At 39.4% G+C, this 26,094-nt stretch overlaps 1 protein-coding gene across 7 annotated transcripts in view, besides 2 other annotated features; it reads left to right on the forward strand.

The window, feature by feature from the left end:
* The window catches only part of UNC13C (unc-13 homolog C), a 795,839-nt gene that overhangs the window by 735,985 nt on the left and 33,760 nt on the right, over positions 1–26,094 (forward strand). The gene's annotated exons all lie outside the window — the stretch shown is intronic.
* Positions 9,408–9,487: a silencer, noted in NCBI's record as "silent region_6452". NCBI's record gives its function as "represses an Ori minimal core promoter by ATAC-STARR-seq in GM12878 lymphoblastoid cells {active_cell/tissue: GM12878}" and the evidence as "EXISTENCE:reporter gene assay evidence [ECO:0000049][PMID:35858748]".
* Positions 20,388–21,587: an enhancer, noted in NCBI's record as "MED14-independent group 3 enhancer chr15:54886172-54887371 (GRCh37/hg19 assembly coordinates)". NCBI's record gives its function as "activates an origin of replication core promoter dependent on BRD2, BRD4, P300/CBP and CDK7 cofactors, and independent of MED14, by STARR-seq in HCT116 cells {active_cell/tissue: HCT116}" and the evidence as "EXISTENCE:reporter gene assay evidence [ECO:0000049][PMID:35650434]".

Below are 26,094 nucleotides of genomic sequence, written 5' to 3' on the forward strand. Positions count from 1 at the left end.
AAGTTTCATACAGTGAGAAATATGTTCAAAGGTGGATATGATGTTATGTATGCAAGTTGCTCTAATATGGTGCTTCTCAAGTAGGGGTGGTTTTCCCCCTCAGGAGACATATGGCAATATCTGCAGAGCTTTGGTTGTCACATCCTGGAGTGGTGGTCATGTTACTGGCATCTAGTACAGAGGCCAGGAATGCTGCTAAACATCCTACAGTGCACAGGACAGCCTTCCCTGTAATAAAAATTCATCTGGCTCTAAATAGTAATAGTGCTCAGTCTAGGACACCCTAATCTAACACAGGCTGAAAAGTGAGAAGTGAAATTTTGGTCTGAGGAGACAGAAAAGGCAGAGAGGTAGGTGAGTATATTGGGTCATGAGAAGGTAGAAGAAGAAATGTATTCTGGATAAAGAAACTCTCCAGGAAAGTACGTACTTGCGCTCTTATTTTAAAATCCCAATATAGCAAGCATGTCCACAGTATATTTTTACTGGTGAAGAAACATAATTTTTTTTAAAACAAAATTCACCACATAACCCCCTATTTTAATCAATAGATATTATTAAAAGTATCTTAAATTTCCTTGCACCATTAAAATATGTAGAAATACTGTGGTAGGTTTAATGTAACATTAGCAGAAATTTTAATATATGTTGGAATTACGACATGTTATTTCTCCAAAATTTGACTCAGTGGTTTAAAATTGATAGTTAGCTTGAAATATTACATTTCTTATTGCTGTTTTTTCTCAAGAATGCATTACTTACAGTTTTAGAAGCTGGTAGAAAATTCATTTCTTGCATCTTGATTACAATGTTACTAAAAAAAAGGTTTTTCTCTAACAACTATTTCATGATACCAAGGGCTCTTTGAATATTTCATGCAGGAGCAGACAGTGAAAAATGAATAAAACTTGAACATATTAAATACAGTTTTTTCAATGAATAACACAATTTGAAACAAGGCACAGGATGATTAATTGCTGAGCCATCCTCTGTTTCCTTCTCTGAGTTTTATTGCAGCTTGAGTGACCTGAATCACAAAAGCTTTACACAGAAAAGGGATATTTTATATAGAAGTTACAACAGTTCCATAAAAATATTAATAGTTAATGCCTATGTGAATTAAAATACAAGAGCTGAAGTGTTTGTACTCTATGATCTGTCCTATTTTTTCATTTTTAATGAGTGAAGTCTTTGAGTCTCTGCTTATTTTAAGTTTCTTAACATTAAATTAGATCATTTTGATCATTTTAATAACCTGTATCCTGCTGAAGTAGAGTATAATGTATTTTAATTTGAGATGGAAAGCAGATAGTTACTGATTCCCATCCTGGAATCTATTAATATACTTCAGTATGCCTAGTATATTGCATTAATGTCATGTGGAGATTTCTCACTCTTCTTTTTATTGGTCATTTTTATAATTTAAGTGGAAGAAATATGTCATTTATTTATTTGTTTATTTATTTTGAGATGGAGTCTGTCTCTGTCACCCAAGCTTGAGTGCAGTGGCATAATCTCGACTCACTGCAACCTCCACCTCCTGGGTTCAAGTGATTCTCCTGCCTGAGCCTCCTGAATAGCTGGGATTACAGGTGCCCGCCACCACACCCAGCTAATTTTTGTAATTTTAGTAGAGACGGTGTTTCACCATGTTGGCCAGGCTGGCCTCGAACTCCTGACCTCAGGTGATCTGCCCACCTTGTATCCAGAATATAGGATGAAAAGTTTAAATACCAGATTATATATCCAAGCACACTTTTATTGTCAGGTGTAAAATTTGGAAGCATCTCACACATAGTTATTTGGGATCATACCACCTAATGAAAGCATTATCTCTAATTATATTCCTCAAACTATATTCCAGAAGTAGAAAATAAACCCTTTTCTGAAATGGTTCACTGTGGAAAGAGTGAACCATTTTCTTATCAGTAATGCAGAAGAACTTAATATTTCATTGGCAGAAAAACTGTTCTCAAATTAAAAAAAAAAAAAAATGAGCTTTTTGGCCAAGGGCCACCGCTGAAATTTCAACTGGATAGCCACCTCTGGAAAAAATGCTGAGAAATGTCTTCAGTTCCTATGCTTGGCCATTTTCAACTTAATACTGATTTTAAAACATAGAAGTTATTTCTCATATTGGCTAAGCTTGTCAGAGATAATCAGAGATCTGGAATCCTATCCAGCAGGTCTATGTCACTCTCTGCCCCTTAGGCACCATTGGACTATCTAGAATTTCCTTCTAAGACAAGAGGTTAGCATTTCTCTAGAGTCTTAAGTGTAAAACTGAGGAGAATCTGTGAAATATGGCTCTTCAAACATTGCAGTCTTTCTGATGACATTCACTTCACCAAGGTGGATGAGGGTCTTCAGAGCAGTCAAAGAGCTATGCACAAATACCTTTAATAAGAGGGGTACTGTGATATGATTCTAAGGATGTTGACTCCAAAAGTAGAAATGGCAAATATTAAATAAGGTTACAGTGAAGATAAGCAAACATCTTGTGCACTAACCAAGTTGTCTACCTCTGTGCTGTTCCTCCCTCAAATCCTGCAAGACCAGTAACATTCTCCACACTTCTCACATTAAGACACGATGTGTAAAGATTTTACTCACAAATAGATTTTTAAAACTTGCTAAGGTAGTTGGTCAAGTAGGTAAGTGACAGGGACAATGCCCCTCCCACTGTCTCACACTCGTTTTCATCCGAAAGAAATCAGTCTATCATTATTCCTTCCCACAGCCTATGCTTTCTTCTCCCTAGCTTTAAATAATTGGGTGTAGTTCCTTCTCCGTACTCTACATGTTAGTATCACTGAATCTCTCTTCTGTTCAGGAGATGATCTTTAAGCTGATACTTAGTTTTCATGTTGGCAATAAATCCCCGCCGCAAACTTCTAACTTCTTCCTCTGCTCCCCAGTTTCACTTCATTCTGGCTGCAGTTACTGGGTAAGCTCAGTAGCCAGGACACCTTTTAAGTAATAAACAGAGGAACTGACGTTGTAGAAATCCAAGCTAAATGTAAGAAAATACATCCTGCTTCCAGGACACTCTTTCTAATATAGCCTGGAGTCTACTATACACCTGTAGGACATTGCTGCATTGCTCTGTCCTCCCTGTCTCCCTCTTCTCCCCTCTTGTCCCCCACCAGCACATGGATTCATCTTGTGACAGTTCCCTAGCACAGTGAGTCATTTTGTGATTGATAATTGGCAACCCTCTCTTCTTACAATGTAAGCCCTAGTAGGACAGGCAGTTTGCATATTCATCTTTGAAATCTAAGTGCCCAGTAGAGTACTGGATGCAAAGCAGGTGCTTAGTGAGTTATAGAACAAATGAATGCTATAAAATTCAATGCAGAAAATCTCAAATTGTGTAATATAACATAGTTCTCATATTTGAATGTATGTGATTACAGACTTTTATTGTAGCAACTATGTTTGTGGTCCTGTTCTAGACACTGGAACATCCAAAGTGTGTATGAGTATGTGTGCATCCTTAGAAAAAAGCTTGTAATTTTACAACTGATACTATTCACTAATTATCATACAAGATAAAAGTAAGTGCCATTGGAGAAATACAAAGGGGCATATAAAATTAGAAAGAGAGAAAAAGACTACTTTTTTTTGGCAAACTCTTGAAATCATGATGTTTTATTCAGTCTGTTACATGAAACTCAAAAACCGACCAGGAAAAAATGAAGTATGCCACTGTGCACAGTTTAGGTCACTGAAAGATCCATTTATCCTTTCATGTGACTTAGTTTTAGGAGCATTTGTCATATGCCAGGCTTTGTGCTAGGTAAATTACCATGAAAGTCTATGCCAAATATCTCCATTTGCCCCTCCTAATCTACTTTCCCCCACTCCGCAGGAGGCTGAGCTGTGTGGGTCACAGTCTTGAGCAGGCTTACTCCCTGTTTCCCAAGTGGTTCAGAGAGCAGGGAGCCCCTCCTAAAAGGGAAGACTACGTTCAGATATTCCTTCTCCAGGCTCCCTCTGGACAAGGTCCTCTCAGCCTGGCTCTGTCCTTTGACTGTAAGCTTCTCAATGTCTTTCCTAGAAAACTCTCTCTTTCCAGGTTCCAGTAACTCCTTCCTCCCCTCATGGTTTACCGATGAGGGCAGTTAGCAGTTCCACTTTCCCTTGTCATTTCCCTAGAGCCCAGCGAAACCCTCATAAAAAGTCTCTTCTCAAACCATCCTAAAATTCCTCAAATTCTGGTTTCCATCTGTTCACTATTTATACTCTGATACTTGAAAAATCTTTAGAGTTTTGCCAGGTTTTCTTCCATGGCAACTCCTTCATATGGGTCAAAGATTAACATGTTGAAATAAGCATTTCAAGTATCAGAATAATCCTCTTTGGAGTGAGAGAAAACATCAAATTTTGATGACTCCTTTGTCCAGAATGAACAAAAGAGCTTTCCACAGAAATATTTCCATTATAGTCTGGGCAGGACATCAAAATCCCGAATCCCACTTTCTCAGAATACAGTTTATTTGGCCCAGCATTTTATCTTTTCTGGAAATCTGAAATCAGATTAAGACAACTGGGAATCATTTGTAAAGTCACTTGTAAAGTTTAAGAGTTCTCACAGCATAGAATAAGCACATGTTTATTGCATGTGATGCTGTGGGGAAATTATCACTTTTAATGTACTGGCAGACTAAAATGTACATATTTTTAGCTCGGAATAGGTGTACTTCTAGTGTTTCTTTCATTTTTTGTCATGAATACTTGAAAGATTACATTTTTTTATCGCACTCACATTTTTAATCAACAACTGTATATATGATGCATTTCTTTATTTCTCAATTTGGTGAGAGCCAGATCTTATTCCAAGGTTATGCTGAATATCAGTGATTAGAATCCCTGTTTCCTGACTTCAAGTGTTCCCTGTTACTTGCCTCTCAAATACTAAGATTGGTTTAAATAATTATGAAGGTAACATACATATATTTTCAAAAGAAACAAAAGCACTTGACATTTGTTTACATCTAAAGTTACGTATAAAGTTTACCTATAAATAACCACTCACACTGCAGTTTACTACCATTTATAAGCACCTTCATGTATTTTCGTCACTTGAGTCTCAGAACAGCCCTCTAAAGTCAGACAGAGGGCCAGCACCATGGCTCACGCCTGTAATCCTAACACTTTGGGAGACCAAGGTGAAAACTGCTTGAGCAGGGAGAACTGCTTGAGGTCAGCAGTTCGAGACCAGCCTGGCCAACGTGGTGAAACTCCGTCTCTACTAAAATTACAAGAATTAGCCGAGCATGGTGAAGCTGGGACTACATGCCTGGCTCCTGGGTGCCCGTTTGTGACAGTCATCTCACCCAAGAGCAATGGATGTCACTGAAGTGATTTAAGCAAGAGTGCAACATGGGTAATAGACTGAAGGGAGACAAGACAGGAGCAGACAGACAAGTTCCAGCCTCCAGTAAAAATCCAGGTGAGACATGGCATGGGGCTTGGATGGTGGAATAGTGACAAAGAAATATGGGCAGACTCATGATGTAGTTCGGCAGTAAAATAGGCAAGTGTTAGTGAAATAAATCTTAAGTTAATAAAAGTTAGGATATAAAATTTCTTCTACAGGATTCCAAAATAAAGCAACAATTACTTCTGTGTGATGAAAGTGTGGTTGATTTTTTTTCTCTGCCTGCTTATGGTTTTCTGTACTTTCAAATGATCCCAACATGTCTAGATATTTATTTTTGAATTATAATTTTATTTAAAAATATAAAAAATATACTTTCTTATGCAAAGTACAATAGTTTAATTGATTGCCAAGGTGCAGTTTATTCAAAGTGGTAGATTTTGAAGTCTTTTAAGGCCTTGGATTTAAATCTGAGCTGGAATAAACAGCCCAGTTAAACTTTCTCTTGGCCGGGCATGGTGGCTCATGCCTGTAATCCCAGCACTGTAGGAGGCCGAGGCAGGCAGATCACGAGGTCAGGAGATCGAGACCTTCCAGCTAACACAGTGAAACCTCGTCTCTACTAAAAATACAAAAAAAATTAGCCAGGCATGGTGGCACGCACCTGCAGTCCCAGCTACTTGGGATGCTAAGGCAGAAGAATGGCTTGAACCTGGAAGGCAGAGGTTGCAGTGAGCCGAGATCACGCCACTGCACTCCAGCCTGGGCGACAGAGCAAGACTCTGTCTCAAAAAAGAAAAAAACAAGAAAAACTTTAGGATTTAAAGAATCTTATAATTGCTTTGTGAGTAGCACAATCGCCTGGAGTGGGACCCACATGTTATTGTATAATGCACCGATTAAAATTAAGTGCCGAGTTAATGATAAAGCAGGTATTTTGAAAATTGTGTAATACCTTTTTGTTAGGGGTAGCTATGATACTTTTTAATATTTTTGTTACTGCTGTTTGTTTTGTTTTAGGTCTGGTTAGAAAGTAAAACAGAGGTTAGAATAAGTTGTCTGGGAATCTTGTGGAAATACTGACATGTCAGAAAATTACTCTTCAAATCACTGAGTCAAGAAAGCAAAATGCAATACAATTTCTCTGGACCCACTGAGCCACCACGCCTGTTTTTGTTCACTGAGAACAGGTTTGGTGACCAATGGGGTCAGTGGCGTTAATTGGAAACTGCAGACTACTGCCTCACAACCTGCACGTGTCCTTCACAGCTGATTTCTGAGCGAAGATGGGACATTTTCTCCTACAGTTATCCTTTGGCACTGGAAGTTAAGCCTTGTTATTACGTGTTTAATCTATCTTAGAATAAGGAATATAAGGTATGTTAAATGGCATAAAAATAGTAAACCTAAATCTTTAAAGGTTGGAAGCCAACCTTGTACAAACCTCTGGTGTAAAACTCTCTGCTTATTTATGGAAGAAAGGCAAGAAATGCGAAAACAGGTGAATGGAGAGCTATACAGGCATGGCCCAAGCATGTGCTCTGGTTCTGCCTGGCTGCAAGACCTGGGATAAGTCACTTATCCTCTCTAAGCCTCAATTTTGTCATCTGTAAAAATGGAAAGCATAATAATTCATACCGTGTGGAGTTGCTGGGAGAACTACAAGTGATAATACCCATGAAACACTTTGCACATAGAAATCCCCATAAATGTTCATCATTCTTATGGCATCCTCATCATCATTAGATGTGCTCTGTCTCAGAGGTGACTCTTTCGTTTACAAAACATTAAGAGAGACCCCTCAGGATGCAGCTCCCTAAGCAAGTAAGCCAGTAATCACGTGTTCCTCTGTGAGCTGTACCTCCACATTCCTAAGAGGCTCTTGGAGTGACTGAGAGATCTGTGACACCTGAATGATTCACACCTGCAGTTTCTAGGAACCCCTTCTCCATACACTCCATGGTTGTCAAATAATCATATATTTATTGAACCTGTACTGTGCACAAAGCACTGTGCTAGGTATGTGACACCAGGGATAGATTCTTTGCTCCAAGAAGCTCATGATGAAGATAAAACAACTGTATGAAGAGAAAAAAGAATCATCCAGGGTAGTTTATGCTAGATGCCAGATGAATCTAAAGATAAAGAGTAGAGGCTTTCAGAAGGGGAGAGATGACTGTGATGGGAGAGTTGGGAGCCTTCGGGGAAGATGTATGGTTCAAAGTGGGTTTTCAAGAAGATGTGGGTCTCAAGTAAAGAAAGGAGAAAAGTAGGCATGTCAGAAAGACACAGAGATCAAAGCGACAAGAAGACCAATCAGAGTGGAGTAGAAAGGTGCTCTCAAAGTATAGTCCCAGAACAGCAGCCTCAGGATTACCTGCTCAGGCTGTCATAACAAAATACAAAGACTGAGTGGCTTAAACACAAAAACTTATTTTCCAGTTCTGAAGGCTGGGAAGTCCAAGATCAATGTGCCACCAATTCCATTTCTGATGAGGGCTCTCCTCCTGGCTTGCAGACAGCCTTCTACTTGCTGTGTCTTCACATGGCTGAGAGAGAGATCCTAAGTTCTCTGGTGTCTCATTTTATAAGGACACTAATCCCATCAGGCCAGGGCCCCACCCTATTACCTCATTTAACCTTAGTTATTTCCTTAGAGGCTTCATCTCTAAATACAGCCACACTGGGGATTAGGACTTCAACAAACGAATTTGGGGGAGATACCAACATTCTATCTATAGCACATGGAAACTTTTCAGAAGTGCTAAATTTTGGGCTTTACCCTGAAACTACTGAGTCAGAAACTCTAGGAGTCGGGCTCAAATATCTCTTTTAATCAGCCTTTTTGGTGCTGCTGAGTTTGAGAACCACTAAAGAGTCAATAGGGCAAGTGAATGGAGGGGAGATGAAAGAAGTAGATTGTCATCAGAACTTGGAGAATTTTGAGGCTCAAGAATGTGGAGGCTGGTCTTAGTCAGTGGGAGACCTAGAAGGAGAGGAGGTCATACAGGTTAGTGTAAACCATTTATTTTGCCATCTGTTTGTGGGAGAAAGGGGAGGAAGGAAAGGAGGAGAGAAGGAAAGAAGGAAGGAATTAAGAGAAAGGGAAGGAAGGAGAGAGGGAGGGAATGAGGACGGGAAAGAAGAAGGCCTTTTGGAAAACAGTTTCATAGTTCAGGTGTTCACATTCTAAGTATAGTAATAGCAGGAATGGAGAAAAGGGATGAAGATGATAAATATTATTAAAATCTACAGGTCATGCCAGGGTCAAGCAAGCAAAGGAGAAAGGGGAATTAGGTAACTTGTAGATCTGTGCAACCTACCACTGACGAAAGTGTGGAAGCTTAGACAGGGAGCTGATTTGAGGCACAAATTCAGTTTTATTTATTTGTGCTGATATTAACAGGAGGACATCTAAGTGACTATGTCTACTAAGATATGAGATATAGTTAAGAGAGTAGTCAGTTCTGCAGCTAAATTCAGGAGGTGATTCTTGAATCCTGTGCAGCCTTTGCAAGTTCTGAGGAAGGGCGCACAGTGAGAGAGGATAAACGAAGTCACAGAGAAAGCCACTATTTCAAGGAAAGCAAAGGCCCAGAATGAGGGTGAAGATGAGGGCAGAGTAAATATCAATGATATTTAAACATTTTTGCTGGTTAGCTCCTCAAAAGGCCTCTCAGTCTGAGCTCTGCAGAAGGGACGTGTTTGCAAGTCACTGTGAGTCCCCTGGGTAAATCAGTGTGCCTATGAACTGGGCCAACTAGCCAAAACTGTGAATTATGACGACCACCACTACTGTTAGCCTGACTCCTTGTTAAACAGGATAATGGTTTTCAGTACCAGCTGAAACAATTTTAAAATGTTGACCATTTATATTACTTAAGTAATGTGCTACCATTTATAAGTAATATAAATGTTGGCCATTTATATTACTTAAGTAATGTGCTACTGAAACTCTAAGGGGGTTTCTGTAACGGTAAACTGACAGTTCTCTAATGCAGTTCAGCATCACCTGTCGGGCTTGTTTGACCACAGATTGCTCGGTTACACTCAGAGTTTCTTATTCAGTGGGTCTGGGTGGGGTCTGAGAATTTGCATTTATAATAAGCTCTCAGGCACAACTGATGGTGCTGGTTTAGGAACCACAATTTGAGAACCGTTGTTAAGCCTCACGCCACACCATTCCTATCATGAGAGCCACCTGTAGCTAATTCAGGGTAACTTGTTGACTGCAAACTATAACCATAGGCAGTTTCTTTAGCAATATAAACCTCTAGATAAAAGAAACACTCAAAAATCAGAATAGGAACATATAGAGTCAATGAAAACTATTTTTTTTCCAAATGAGAGCATGTGTTTTACAGCCTCAAAAGAATATTTTCATGTAGACTGCACTAAAATAACAAGATAAACCTGAAACTAAAGCTTAAAAAGGCCTTTATGAAACAAAAACAGTTTCACACCTGAGGTAAAGGGCTACATATGTCCCTCGATTTTTTCTCATATCTTAGCTTTCATTTAAATGACATTGCCATTTTACATATAATAGAAGAACCTAGAAATTTGATTCCTGCTTATTAGGGCAAACCAAAGGGGTTATTTCCAATTATTTTCAGTTCAGTTTTTCTTCACGTATAATAGAAATGATTTAAAAGCCAGGTTTTGTTGGAAACTGCCATAAATGTGGTTAATAGTTGCTGCCTCAGCATCCATTTTCAGGCCTGACCTAAGTTGTCTGAAGCCCAGTCTCACTGTATCACCTCTGGTCTGGGTAACACTTCCCCTCCCTGAGTGGTTGTTTGTAATGCGGCCCATTTGCTCTTCATCGCACTGACCCAGAACCCACACATCACACAGCTGCTGACCATGATCAAACCTAACGGCCAACACCAGAGTCCTGTGAATAAGTCCTGCTTCCTACTTGTTCTCTTAAATCAGCCTAAGCCACACCCCCACGGGAAAGCCCCAGGACAAAGCTCCAGGCCCTAACTGTGCTCTCTGGCTCCCCGTGGCCTCCAGACTTCCCCTCGGGCTCCTGCCGCTCTCTGGACCTCTCTGGGATGTGTAAGTAAGAGATTTCTTCTGTTCCTGCGTTTTGGTTTCACCTCCTCCTTGTGCCTCACCTGACTGACACCCTAGAACCTACCTTTCCCCTTGGCCAGGGCTCTCCTGGAGATTGGCTGGTTTCTGGCCCCCTCCAAAGAGAGACCTGAAGACCAAATTAGGAACCTAAATATATAAATCGCAACAGAAAGTTTGGTTGTTTACTGACAATATATATTTATACTGTAAAATGTGTTTATGATTTAGAACACACTAGACCTATTCTAGCTCTAAATTGCATTGCTATCTTGTAGTATGCAGTTATGCCTCGTTTCATTTCATTTTCCAACTGAAGTCATTTTATTCCCTCAGTTTATAAATACCTCGAATTCTTTAGCCGAAAAGGCAAGGTAACTTGATAGAGCATCCCCCTTTGTGACCATAACCTCCAGTGCAGAACAAATTAAACGTGCAAAACTGTGAGTGCCATGTCCTACATTGTTAAAGAAAATGATGTTGAAAGGCAGTGAAAGTCCTTATGAAGAAATTCAAAAGAGTAAAAGAATAGACAGATGAACTGGAAATGGAAGAAGTCAGTTTTTCTTTCCTTTAGGAGTAAGCCAATTTGGAAACTAGCTGGTAAGTGTTACAGTCCATTTACATGACAGGCATTCTTCGTATTCACTAAGAAAACATTATGGTACAAATGTTCACTGTGCAGAGCACACCTGTAATATTTCATCTGGTCCTCTCAGTGACCCTATAAGGAAAATGAAACATTTTCAGATGAGACCGGGCTTCAGGGTGAAATTAGGTGACGGGTGAGACTTATATAGAGAGTAAGTGGTGGAACTGGATTCAAATCCAAATTCTTCCAACTGTAAGCACAGGGCATTTTCCACTAATCAGCCCACTAACCAAAGAAACCTAATTTTTCCAAACATTTAAAGTGATGCTATGGCCATTTGAGTAAAACCAATTTTGGCCTATACTTTTGATTCCCCATCACCAGACTACCATTGGTTATCCGATATGGGCAGCAGAATTAAGAGGTAATGAAGTCTAATAGAACCTCTCATTATTTGTGTGGATGCAGTAGTAACAGAGATGGTGATATAGTTTGAACGTTTGGCCCCTCCAAATCTCATGTTGAAATGTGATCCTCAGTGTTGGAGGTAGGGCCTGCTGGCAGGTGTTTGGGTCACGGGGCAGATCCTTCATGAATGGCTTGGTACCCTCCTCATGGTAATGGCTGAGTTCTTGATGTATTCATTCACTGAGATCTGGTTGTTAAAGAGTGTGGTACTGCCCCCGTGTCTCTCTTGCTTCCTCTCTCACCATGTTAGGTGCCAGCTCCCCCTTTGCTTTCTGCCATGATTGTAATCTACCTTAGGCCTCAAAAGAAGCAGATGCTGGTGCTGTGCTTCTTGGGCAGTCTGCACAACTATGAGTCAAATAACCCTCTTTTCTTTATAAATTACCCAGCCTCAGGTATTCGTTTATAGCAATCCAAAATGGACTAATACAGATGGGGACATGTAGGTATTAATTTAACAGATGCTTATATATTGCCTGTATTCTCACTGGGACTGGGAAGTGTTAGAGAAATATAAATGAAAACATAATCTCCTCCTAACCCGGAAAACTTCTCCACAAAGGTAGAAGAGAAAGAACACAGTTTTATTGAGTAAGCATTAAACCAGAGTGAGATGCACGTCTCAGGAAATCAGCTAAGAAATTGCAAAGACAGAAAAAAATCTCACCTCTTAATATAACAAGCAGATATAACCTTTTATATACAAATTCTCAAGGTAAACAATAACTTGTCCTCAAGGGGACTTTACAGCACCATTTGTCAAACAACTTTCATCCTAAATTCCCTTAGTAATTGGGGTAACCGTCTGTGTTAGACAATTGGCTTTATCCAAAGCAAAAATAAATTTCTCATATCTTTATAAAAGGGGGTTGTCTTGCAACTTGGAGTAAGATACCTGCTGAAATTACCCTCCTAGCCTCCTACAGAACCTGATAAATAGAGCTGTTATCTTCCTTGATAATTTTCAAAGTGATGATTCCCTGGTCTTTGAGAACAGTATCCTTGGGTCTTAAAACTAGCAAAAGACTAAGTTAGCTTTTAAAAATTTTTGTATATGTTTCAAAATGACAAAGAGGTACAAGCTTTCTAAAGTAAATACCCTAAGAAAAGGATGTTTCTTTCCTTACTTTTAACATGGAGAACATATTAGTCATATATTCCTTATAGGCTTCTTAACAAAATACTACAGATTGGGTAACTTAAACAAGAGATATTTATTCCCTCACAGTTTTCAAGGCTGAAAGCCCAAGATGAAGGTGCCAGTGGGCTTGGTTTTTGGTGAGATTGCTCTTCCTATCTTGCAGACAGTTACCTTTTCATTCTGTTCTCATGGCCTTTTCCCCGTGCACAGGGAAAGAGATCTCTGGTATCTCTTCCTCCTCTTAAAAGGACACCAGTTCTATCATATTGGAGCCCCATCCTTGTCACCTCATCTAACCTTAATTAACTTTTTAAAGGCCCTTTCTTCCAATAAAGTCACATTGGAGGGTGGGGCTTTTACAAACAAATTTAGGGGGAGACAAAATTCAGTCCATAACAAAGAGTTGAGCTTCTTATTTTTAGTTGGCATTTGCCCTTACAGGAATAACAAGCCAGGCTAAGTCCTTGTCATCATGCAGATGCAAGTAATGCAAGTTGCAAGTAATAATCAAGGAAATAAACAGTGATGAGTGAAGGCCCTTGGCTTAAGGATAAGAAGAAACCAGCCAGCTCCTGGTTAGCCAGGGAGTAAATCGTTGCATTCCTGATAATTTGGAAAGGAAAGAGCTAGAAAAGTAAATTTATGGAAGCAGGATCATCCAGATAATCAATGATATAACTAAGCTGTACAGACTGTTAGGCCATCAATCAATATTTACCAAATTCCACTTACACATTCATTTATTCATATACTCAACATTTAATCACCCCTAGATTCATTTTATGTACCAATATGGCTGAAAACTACCCAGATAATGTTTTTCCTTCCATCACTTACTACCACCATAGATTTTATGAAATTATTAATTAGGTTTCAACTTAGATTTCAATTTCAAACTGTTGTGTCATGTTGATTTTACACAAATACTTATAAGGTGAAATGACAGAATTTTATGAAATTATTAGGTTTCAACTTAGATTTCAATTTCAAACTGTTGTGTCATGTTGATTTTACACAAATACGAGGTGAAATGACAGAATTCTCCTCCTACCAGGACAGTTCACAAAACCCGTGAAACATTTATATGACTGAAGCTTCTTCATATGTGCTCAGAGTCTATTGTAAGGAAACAGTTATCTGCATGTCTTCCCAGTTTTTAAAAACCACCACCAACTAATTCATATAATAGAACTCACTCAAAATAACTCAAAGACAGTCTGGACAAAATAGAGATATGATAGTTTAAAAGATAATGTAGTCGTATAACTTCCACATATAGATAGTAAACTCACAACTAAGGAGTTTGGGACCAGCCTTCAGGACCTCAGTACTCCACTCTTCTAATGTATGGTCATTCTGTTGGTAGAGTGGATTTTCATCACTGGAGGCAGATGTTACACTGCTCCTCCCCTCTGGCAATCAGACTTGGAGGAAGGCAAGTGAAGGCCAGGTGAGAATGAGCCTCCACCCACCTCCCCATGCCCAGCCAACTCTCTGATTCTCTACCTTGTGCATCTCCTCTCTACACAAACAGCAAACATCTTTTTACTTTATTCAGTCAAATAAAAGGTAGACCTCTTCATGTAAGATACTGACATGTTCAATAATAAAATATTTGAAGTTAAGTTAGATACATTTTAATGACTAATTGAGTCATATTTTTAAGAAATAATTATTCACTGTGCATTTGTTATGCCAAGTTTCAGATGAGACTAACATTGGCCCTGGGCACAATGCATGGGTGAATCATTTTAGTCTCAGGAAGATGGGTTTTGTATGGTGTTCTGTATTAGGCATAATCACAAGGTAGATTGGAGAGTCCTAGATAAGATGATAGAGAATGGGTAGGACACCCTTCCCCTGACCAGCAGACTGCTGGTTGCATGGTGAAGCTCTTTGTTAACCTTGGCTTCTGCCTCTCTAGCTTCCCATATGGTTCATTAATAGCAATGGGGCACAACCCATTATCTGCTGAAATGCAACAGAAATGCTGATACATTTTCAATTTATTTCCTGAAGTAAATTGAACTTTCCCCTTAAATATGGTCACATTATTAATTACTTTAAATCTCAGCTCTGCCACTTACTACGTGTAACATTAAGTAATTTAACTTATCTATGTCTCATTCCCTCATCTGTAAAATGAGGTTGACAGTAGTGTCCCCTAAATGTGGTTGGTGAGAAGATTAAATAAATCAATATATGTAAACCTCCTAGAACAATGCCTAGTGCATAACAAATACTTCATAGTAAATTCTTTTTTTTCCATAAGTTATTGGTATACAGGTGGTATTTGGTTACATGAGTAAATTCTTTAGTGATTTGTGAGTGTATACTCACCCAAGGAGTATACACTGCGCCATATTTCTTGTCTTTTATCCCTACCCCCTTCCCCTCTTCCTCCCAAGTTCCCGAAGTCCATTGTACATTCTTATGCATTTGCATCCTTATAGCTTAGCTCCCATATATCATTGAGAACATGCAATGTTTGATTTTCCATTCCTGAGTTGCTTCACTTAGAATAATAGTCACCAATCTCATCTAGGTCATTGCAAACGCTGTTAATTCATTCCTTTTTATGGCTCAGTAGTATTCCATTGTATATATATACGAGTTTCTTTATCCACTCGTTGATTGATGGGCATTTGGGTTGGTTCCACAGTTTTGCAATTGTGAATTGTGTTGCTATAAACATGCATGTGCAAGTATCTTTTTCAAATAATGACTTCTTTGCCTTTGGGTAGATACCCAGTAGTGAGATTGCTGGATCAAATGGTAATTCTACTTTTAGTTCTTTCAGGAATCTCCACACTATTTTCCATAGCAGCTGTACTAGTTTACATTCCCACCAACAGTGTAGAAGTGTTCCCTGATCACCGCAATGACACCAACATCTACTGTTTTTTTATTTGATTATGGCCATTCTTGCAAGAGTAAGGTGGTATCGCATTGTGGTTTTGATTTGCATTTCGTTGATCATTAGTAATGTTGAGCATTTTGTCATATGCTTGTTAGCCATTTGTATATCTTCTTCTTCTTCTTTTTTTTTTTTTTTTTTTTTTTTTTTGAGACTGAGTCTCACTCTGTCACCCAGGCTGGAGTGCAGTGGCACAATCTTGGCTGACTGCAGCCTCCGCCTCCTGGGTTCAAGTGATTCTCCTGCCTCAGCCTCCCGAATAGCTGGGATTACAGGCACATGCCACCATGCCCAGTTAATTTTTGTATTTTTAGTAGAGACAGGATTTCACCATGTTGACCAGGCTGGTCTTGAACTCCTGACCTAGCAATCCACCTGCCTCAGCCTCCCAAAGTGCTGGGATTACAGGCATGAGCCACCGCGCCCAGCCAGCCATTTGTGTATCTTCTTTTGAGAATTGTCTAGTTATGTCTTTAGCCCACTTTTTCATCAGATTTTTTTTTTCTTACTGATTTGAGTTTGTTGTAGATTCTGGATATTAGTCCTTTGTCAGAAGTATAGATTGTGAACATTTTCTCCCACTCTGTGGATTGACTGCTGACTGTTCTTTTTGCCATGCAGAAGCTCTTTATTTTAGTTAGGTCCCAGCTATTTATCTTTGTTTTCATTGTAATTGCTTTTGAGTTTTTAGTCATGAAATCCTATATATAGGAGGGTTTTTCCAATGTTATCGTCTAGAATTTTTATAGTTTCAGGTCTTAGGTTTAAGTCCTTAATCCATCTTGAGTTGATTTTTGTATAAGATGAGAGATGAGGATCCAGTTTCATTCTCCTACATGTGGCTAGCCAATTATCCCAGCACCATTTCTTGCAAACGGTGTCCTTTTCCCACTTTATGTTTTTGTTTGCTTTGTTGAAGATCAATTGGCTGTAAGTATTTGGGTTTATTTCTGGGTTCTCTATTCTGTTCCATTGGTATATGTGCCTATTTTTATACCAGTACCACTCTGTTTTGGTGACTATGGCCTTATAGTATAGTTTAAAATCAGGAAGTGGGATGCCTCCAGATTTGTTCTTTTTCCTTAGTCTTGCTTTGGCTATGTGGGCTCTTATTTAGTTCCATATGAATTTTAGAATTCTTTTTTCTAGCTCTGAAGAATGATGGTGGTATTTTCATGGGAATTGCATTGTATTTGTAGATGGCTTTTGGCAGTATGCTCATTTTCACAAAATTGATTCTAACATCCAGGAGCATGGGATGTGTTTCCATTTGTTTGTGTCATCTGTGTTTTCTTTCACCGGTGTTAAGTAGTTTTCCTTGCAGAGGTCTTCTGACTCTTTTGTTAGGTATATTCCTAAGGGTTTGTTTGTTTGTTTGTTTGCAGCAATTGTAAAAGGGGTTGAGTTCTTGATTTGATTCTCTATTTTGTTGCTGTTGGCGTATAGAAGAGCTACTGATTTGTGTACATTAATCACATATCCACAAACTTTGCTGAATTCCTTTACCAGTTGTATGCGCTTTCTGGAGGAGTCCTTAGGGTTTTTAAGGTAGACGATCATATCATCAGCAAACAAGGACAGGTTGACTTCCTCTTTAACTATTTAGATGTCCTTTATTTCTTTCTCTTGTCTGATTGCTCTGGCTAGGATTTCCAGTACTGTGTTGAAGAGGAGTGCTGAGAGTGGCCATCCCTGTCTTGTTCTAGTTCTCAGAGGGAATACTTTCAACTTTTCCCCATTCAGAATTATGCTGGCTGTGGGTTTGTCATAGATGGCTTTTATTACATTAAGGTATTTCCCTTGTATACCAATTTTGTGAGGGTTTTAATCATAAAGGGATGCTGGATTTTGTTGAATGCTTTTTCTGCATCTATTGAGATGATCATGTGATTTGTGTCTTTAATTCTGTTTATGTCATGTATCACATTTTTTGACTTGTGTATGTTACACTATCCCTGCATCCCTGGTATGAAACCCACTTGGATCATGGTGGATTATCTTTTTGATAGGTTGTTGGATTCGGTTAGCAAGTATTTTGTTAAGGATTTTAGCATGTATATTCATCAAGGATATAGGTCTGTAGTTTTCTTTTTTGTGTCCTTTCCTGGTTTTGGTATTAGGGTGATGCTGGCTTCACAGAATGAATTAAGGAGGGTGCCTTCTTTCTCTGTCTTGTGGAATAGTGTCAAAAGGATTGGTACCAATTCTTCCTTGAATGTCTGGTAGAATTCTGCTGTGAATCCATCTGGTCCTGGACTTTTTTTGTTGGTAACGTTCTAATTATCATTTCAATCTCACTACTTGTTATTAGTCTGTTCAGGGTATCTAATTTTTCCTGATTTAGGCTAGGAGGGTTGTATTTTGCCAGGAATTTATCCATCTCTTCTAGATTTTCTAGTTTATGTACATAAAGTTGTTCATAGTAGCCTTGAATGATCTTTTGTACTTCAGTCATGTCAGTTGTAATATTTCCTGTTTTGTATCTCAGTGAGGTTATTTGGATTTTCTCTTTTTTTCTTGGTTAATCTTGCTAATAGTCCATCAATTTTATTTATCTTTCCAAATAACCAGCTTTTTTTTTCATTTATCTTTTGTATTTTTGTTTGTATATTTGTTTCAATTGCATTTAGTACTGCTCTGATGTTGGTTATTTCCTTTCTTCTGCTGGGTTTGGGTTTGGTTTGTTCTTGTTTTTTAGTTCCTTGATGCCTGACCTTAGATTGTCTGTGTGTGCTCTTTCAATGTTTTTGTTACAGGTGTTTAGGGTTATGAACTTTCCTGTTAACACCACCTTAGCTGTATCCCAGAGGTTTTGATAGGTTGTATAATTATTATTGTCATTGAGTTTGATGAATTTCTTAATTTTTATCTCAATTTCATTTTTGACCCAATGCTCATTCAGGAGCAGGTTATTTAATTTCCATGTATTTGTGTGGTTTTGAAAGTTCCTTTTGGAGTTTAGTTCCAGTTTTATTCCACTGTGGTCTGAGAGTGCTTGATATAATTTCAGTTTTCTTAAATGTATTGAGGCTCATTTTATGGCCTATCATATGGTCTATCTTGGAGAAAGTTCCATGCACTGCTGAATAGAACGTGTATTCTGTGGTTGTTGGATGAAATCTTCTGTATGTATCTGTTAAGTCCATTAGTTCCAAGGTACAGTTTAAATCCATTGTTTCTTTGTCGACTTTCTGTCTTGATGACCTGTCTAGTGCTGTCAGTGGAGTATTGAAGTCCCCCACTATTATTGTGTTGCTGTCTACCTCATTTCCTAGGTCAATTAGTAATTGACTTATAAAATTGGGAGCTCCAGTGTTAGCTGTATATATGTTTAGGATTGTGATATTTTCCTGTTGGACAAGGCCTTTTACCATTCTATACTGTCCCTTTTTGTCTCTTTTAACCGCTGTTGCTTTAAAGTTTGTTTTGTCGGATATAAGAATAGCTACCCCTGCTTGCTTTTGGTGTCTTTTTGCATGAAATGCCTTTTTCTACCCCTTTAAGTTTATGTGAGCCCTTATGTGTTAGGTGAGCCTCCTGAAGGCAGCAGATAGTTGGTTTGTGAGTTCTTATCCGTTCTGTGGTTCTGTATCTTTTAAACTTAGCATTTAGGCCATTTACATTTAATGTTAGTATTGAAATGTGAGGTACTATTGCATTCATCATGCTCGTTGTTGCCTGTGTACTTTGTTTTTTGTTTTTTTTTTTTTTTTACTTGTATTTTTGTTGTATAGGTCTTGTGTAATTTATGCTTTAAAGAGATTTGGTTTTGATGTGTTTCCAGGATTTGTTTCAAGAGTTAGAGCTCCTTTTAGCAGTTCTTGTAGTGATGGCTTGGTAATGGTGAACTCTCTCAGCATTTGTTTGTCTGAAAATAACTATCTCTCCTTCATATATGATGCTTGGTTTCACTGGATACAAAATTCTTGGCTAATAATTGTTTTATTTGAGGAGGCTGAAGATAAGGGCCCAATCCCTTTTAGCTTGTAGGGTTTCTGTTGCTAAATCTCCTGTTAATCTGATAGGTTTTCTTTTATAGGTTACCTGGTGCTTCTGTCTCATAGCTCTTAAGATTCTTTCCTTTGTCTTAACATTGGATAACTTGATGGCCATGTGCCTAGGCAAAGATCTTCTTGTGATGAATTTCCCAGGTGTTCTTTGTGCTTCTTGTATTTGCATCTGTCCAGGTTTCTATCAAGGCCAGAGAAGTTTTCCTCGATTATTTCTCCAAATATGTTTTCCAAGCTTTTAGAATTGAATTATTCCTCAAGAACACCAATTATTTTTAGGTTTGGTCATTTAACATAATCCCAGGATTTGTTCATATTTTCTTACTTGTAGAGGCTTTGTTCACATTTTCTTATTCTTTTTGTCTTTGTCTTTGTTGGATTGGGTTTATTCAAAGACCTTATCTTTGAGCTCTGAATTTCTTTCTTCTACTTGTTCAATTCTATTGCTGAGACTTTTCAGGGCATTTCATGCTTCTAAAAGTGTGTCTAAAGTTTCCTGAATTTCTTATTGTTTTTTCTTTGAGATGTCTATTTCCTTTAATATTTTTCCCTTCACTTCTTATATCATTTTTTGGATTTCCTTGCACCAGGCTTTGCCTTTCTCTGGTCCCTCCCTGAGTAGCTTAACTAACCTCCTGAATTCTTTTTCAGGTGAATCAGGGATTTCTTCTTGGTTTAGATCCATTGCTGGTGAACTAGGTGATTTTGGGGGCATGTTGACCAGTCTTGTTTTGTCATATTACCAGGGTTGGTTTTCTGGTTCCTTCTCATTGGCATAGGCTCTATCAGAGGGAAGGTCTAGGGCTGAAGGCTGTTCTGATTTTTTTGTGCCACAGGGTTTTCCCTTGATGTAGTACTCTCCCCATTTTCCTGTGGATGTGGCTTCCTGTGAGCCATACTGCAGGGATTGTTGTCTCTCTTCTGGGTCTAGCCACCCAGTGAGTCTACCCTGTTATGGGCTGGTACTGGGGGTTGTCTGCACAGAGTCTTGTGGTGTGAACCATCTATGGGTCTCTCAGCCATGGATACCAGCGCCTGTTCCAGTGGAGGTGCCAGAGGGTGCAGTGGACTCCATGGGGGCTCTTAGCTTTGGTGGCTGAAAGCTCTTTTTTTGTGCGGGTTGACCTCCTGCCAGGAGGTGGCGCTTTCCAGAAAGCATCAGCTGTAGTAGTGTGGAGAAGGACCATTGGTGGGCGATGCCTTAGAACTCCCAAGATTGTACTCCCTTTGGCTTCCTGCTACCAGGGTGGGTAGGGAAGGATCATCAGGTGGGGGCAGGGCTAGGTGTGTCTGAGCTCAAGACTCTCCTTGGGCAGGTCTTGCTGTGGCTGCTGTGGGGGATGGGGGTGAGAGTCCCAGGTCACTGAAGTTGTATACCTAGGAGGATTATAGCTGCCTCTGCTGAGTCATGCAGGTTGTCAGGGAAGTGGGGGAAAGTCGACCGTCACAGGCCTCACCCAGCTCCCGCACAAACTGTAGGGCCGGTCTCACTTCCATCATGCCCCCTGCAACATCCCCAAGTCTATTTCTAGGCAGAGGGCAAGTTGGGCTTGAAAACTTGCCTGAGGCTTTCCATCTTCCAGGTTCAGCTTCCACAGTAGGGATGTGTGTTCGGGAAAGGATGTTGGGGAAACCAGCCCCACACCACCCAGTGGGTACCCCGAGTCCAGAAGAGACAAAGGAGTTAGAGACAGAATAAGTATCCAAAAGGCGGGTCCAGGGGACCGGAGCATCGGAGGCTTGCTCACGGCCCAGAGCTCTTGGGCTCTGCCCAATTTATTGGTTTACAAGCTCTTTGTTCTTAGGGCAGATGGAAGGAGGAGGAAGGGATGAGGAAAAGGATTAAACAGTGAAGGAGAATTTGTGAGTCATTCGATAAGATGTATAGCAGTGGTGGTTTCTGTGAATTTCCTTGAGCAAAGGCATGTGTCTAAACTACTTAAGATCTTTAACTTATCGGGACTGATACAGGTGGGAGTGGGTTTCAGGAGGAGCCTAGATGTTTGATTATACTCCACTGCTTCAAGGGAGTGTTATCTCCCTGAGCAACCTGTGGAATGCCGTTATGCTCTCGGGGCCTAAGGACATGAAGGCAATAAGGAGACTTTTCTCCTCAGAGGCCACCCATGGCTTCCCATGGGTGTCTCACACAGGGAAGACCAACTCAACTGGCACCCCAGAAACTCTCTTTCCCACAAAGGAGGGTCTCCTTTTTCTACTCCCAAAGATGCAGCACTCAAAGTATTTGGGGTGTCGCCCGGTCCCTGCAGCCGCCTTCCTTCAGGGGGTCTGTGGTTCCTCTCAGGATTGCTGGTTTGTTCTTGCAGTTCATCTGGAGCTAAAATTCACAGTGCAAGCCTCCACAGGCTGCTGTGTCTGTGGCTGCAATCTAGTCCTGCCTCTCGTTTGTCTTGATCCATAAGTAGATTCTTAATTATGGAATTTGTGATTATTTTGTTTAAGTTATCTAAGGCAATTGTGTTCAGATCTTATTTTGCCACTAAAACTACATTGGAAACACATTCCCTACCACTTGTGCTAAGAGTGGTTTTAGTGATGCAATTGCATGAAAGTTTCTCCAGAAATAATTCAGAATTCTTGGACAGCTTCTATTTGTTTAATTCTTTGGCTTATCTGGACAGATTCGATTTTCCAATGAATTAGACTTGATCTTTTATAGAAATGTAGCCAAATAATTGAAAAGTAATTTTCCATTCATTATACTAGTTACTCAATCTCTTAAATGATTACATGAAGTAGATAACATATTTCTTCAAAGCATAAGAAATATTACATATGAAAATGCCTTTAAGAATTTGAAGAAAAAAAAAAGTCTTCAATAGGAGTTTTGGTTGTCTGCTTGGGCTTGGTTTGAATGTTTTAACGAAGCTTATTGGTATTTTTGGTCCAAAACCCAGCATGACTGAGTCAAGTTGAATTGGACAGGGTTTGAGCTACTGAATCTGGAGGTTCAAACCAGAAATGTGTTAAGTTCCATCTCAGAGGTTATCTTTATCAGAAAGTTGTATTTTTTTCATGGCATATAAATACGCTTATCCCAACTGTGGGTGTTTTTTCTACCAAAAGTGCTACATTAAAAAGAATATTTTCTATATCACATGCCAAACATGCCTCCCTGTGAATTTTAGATAACTAATTTCCCGCAAGGAAGGTGACTATGGAGGCCAGCTTTGTTGTTTTTACTTTTGTGGGATTTTCATCTAGGAATTGGAATATAAAGAGTATAGCCATGATGCAAATTGAAATGACTGTAAGTCCCAGGCTTGCTTTGAGGAGTTACCCTCTGATAAGCATATGCACACACACGTACAACAATAACTCAAGAGGCCAAATGAGAGCACCACTAGGGTCAAATAAGACCATAATGGGAGGCATTGCACAGGCAGGAGGACTGGGGATATCATTTGAATATTTTGTCTTTTCCAACTCGCATGTTGACACGTGATCCCCCAGTGTTGGAGGTGGGATCTAGTGGGAGGTGTTTGGGTTATGGGGGCAGATCTCTCATGAATGGTTTGCTGCCCTCCCCATGGAAATGAGTGATTTATTGCTCTATTAGTTCACATCAGAGCTGGTTAAGAGCATGGGACCTCCCTTTTCTTTTGCAATGTGACACAGCTACTTCCCCTTTGCCTTCTACCATGAATAAAAACTCCCAGAGGTCTCACCAGTAGCTGAGCAGCTAGTGGTGCCATGCTTGTATAGCCTGCAGAACTGTGAGCCAAATAAACCTCTTTTCTTAACAAGTTACCCAGTATCAGGTATTCCTTTACAGCAATACAAAATGGACTAACACAACTGGGAAGTCCCATCTTCAGGAAGAGCTGTTCCCAATCTTTTTGGCGCCAGAGACTGGTTTCATCTTGGGCAGTTTCATCCCAAAACTCATAAGGAGTGCACAACCCAGATCCCTCACATGCGCAATTCACAATAGGGTTCATGTTCCTGTGAGAATCTAATGCTGGCTGTTGTGACAGGAGGTGGAGCTCAGGTGGTAATGCTCACTTGCCTGCCGCTTATCTCCTGCTGTGCAGCCCAGTTCCTAACAGGCCACAGACCGGTATCATTCCACAGCCTGGGGGTTAGGGACCACTGCTCAGGAAGGTAAGAGCCAAGGGCAATAGCAGCGTGCCAGCGAAGAATCCTACCAGGTACGTTAGGAGATAGCTTAACACCTTTGGAATCCAGGGTCCTCTGGTAGGAAGATATTCCACCGAACCTACAGGCCAAAGTTTCTGTGCATGTAAGGGGTTTATTTTACTTAGCCCAGGGTCTGTGGTCCTCTGCTTATGAACTCCAGATACGTCTGGGGTAAGACATGGAAGGAGAGGGAAGAATGTTGGGCATGGAGAATCATCCCTGAGACACCGCAAAAGGGGCAAGAGAGTACCCGCTGTGTAAAACATAATAATTACATAAGAATTAAATTTTGATCTTTTTCATAGACTGGTAACCTACACGACACATACTAAGAACTTAAAATATTTGAGTAAATAAATTAGTGAATAATGTATTAACACATAGTATCAGAGATCAGAGGAGACTACTAACATTAATGATGATTTCAGGTGTTAAAGCAATCACATTATGTACAATTTTTATTGAGTGTCTAAAAATACATCATATCCAGCTAATAATATAAACAATTTTCCAGTTATACCTAATACTCATGGAGCACAGTAATGACTTTTTCAAAATTGAGGCATTAAATGTATTCCAGGGATACAAACTTTGTCTTAATATTTTATGAGCAAAATAATTATTGGAGCTACCTAGCAAAGGAATATGATGCCTATTTTAGATGTTTACATGATAGAAAGCAGTCAAGCTTTAAGACTGGTAAAAACTTTCCAGGCATATTGTAGAAGACTCCTACAATGAGTGAAAGATTTTAACCTCTAAGGTCCTTTATTTTGTTTTTGAGATGGAGTCTCGCTTTGTCGCCCACGCTGGAATACCATCTTGGCTCACTGCAACCTTCACCTCCCTAGTTGAAACAATTCCCCTGCCTCAGCCTCCCGAGTAGCTGGGATTACAGGTGCATGCCACCACACCCGGCTAATTTTTGTGTATTTTTAGTAGACACAGGGTTTCACCATGTTGGCCAGACTGGCCTCCAACTGCTGACCTCAGGCAATCTGCCCACCTCGGCCTCCCAAAGTGCTGGGATTACCGGCATGAGCCACCGCGCCCAGCCTGAAGGTCCTTTTTTTAATTCTAAAATTCCATGACACTGCTTTGGGATTTAAAAAATTGAGTGAAAACCTGTCCATATACAGAGATAGTTCGATGCTCTCCAGAGGCACATCCAGGCACAGCACATAGGATCTGGGTGGAATAAACTTCTGTTGAATCAACCTGAAGGAAGCAGCACTGGCATGTGTTGAGGTTTCCTAAAAGAATGCAATTTGTATTGATTTAGTTCAAGCACTGTAAAGTTTAAGTTGTAAAATTGGAGTCAATTTCTATTAATTTGATGATATAACTTTTACTAAGCATTCTCAATTTTCCCTCTTTTTAAAAGAAAAATTGGCTGTTTCCATGTCAGAAAATACTTGAAGCAAAAAGATTAAGCTCTGAGAGTTTATATAAAAACATTCATGCACTTGTCATTTAGCAGACACTCAGAAAATGTTAGCTGTATTGTACTGAGGCACAAATACGTATTTGACAAGAGTTTGTTTTCCTTCAATAACAGTAGGAGTATTTGTTTTGTTTATTTCTGTAACCTTGGCATCTGATGCTCAACAAATATTAAATGAAAAATCAATTGTGCTATGGTAAAATAATATAATAAAAAGCTATTCTAATCATATTCTACTTTTCCCTACTTAATTTCTCATAATAATCAAACATTTCAGTAATAGCTCATTTTATTTTAGTAAATATATCCATATTCATGATATTATCTGGTCACACATATATAGGTAGAGAAATATCATCATTCCCATCTGGTCACACATATATAGGTAGAGAAATATTATCATTCCCATCTTACCAATGAAGAGAAACAGAGGTTCAGAGAGGTTAAATAATCACATTAGTAACTAGAATACAAATCCCTGCTTCAAGATTCCACGTTCAGGACATTTTCTAATAAACATGAGGGTTTATGCCAGCTTCAGAGGTACAGATCAAGAAAAGAGAAAGCCTGAACAATTTCTTCTGCATTTGATGCCTTTTTGCTTTCTTTTCCTTTGAGTTTGTGTCTTGTACAAGCCTGCAGTGTAATCTCTATTTCTTCAGTATCTGCTTGCAATCATTGTTACATTTTTATGCTATTTGTGGATAAAAATGGTAAGATCTATTTCTTTCACTCCAGTAAGACTATCCAAGTTTCCGAAAGTAAGATTTTTCCAACGATATTTGTTCATTATGGATCTAGGGCACTGGAGGAGCCTCAAGAGAGCCATTGTTCCTGTAGTAGTGAAATGTTCCAACTACCCGAAACACATGGTTGTCTAGACTGTTTTTAGGAATTTC

This window comes from Homo sapiens, chromosome 15, assembly GCF_000001405.40.
Source record: "Homo sapiens chromosome 15, GRCh38.p14 Primary Assembly".
NCBI classification, from domain to species: domain Eukaryota; kingdom Metazoa; phylum Chordata; class Mammalia; order Primates; family Hominidae; genus Homo; species Homo sapiens.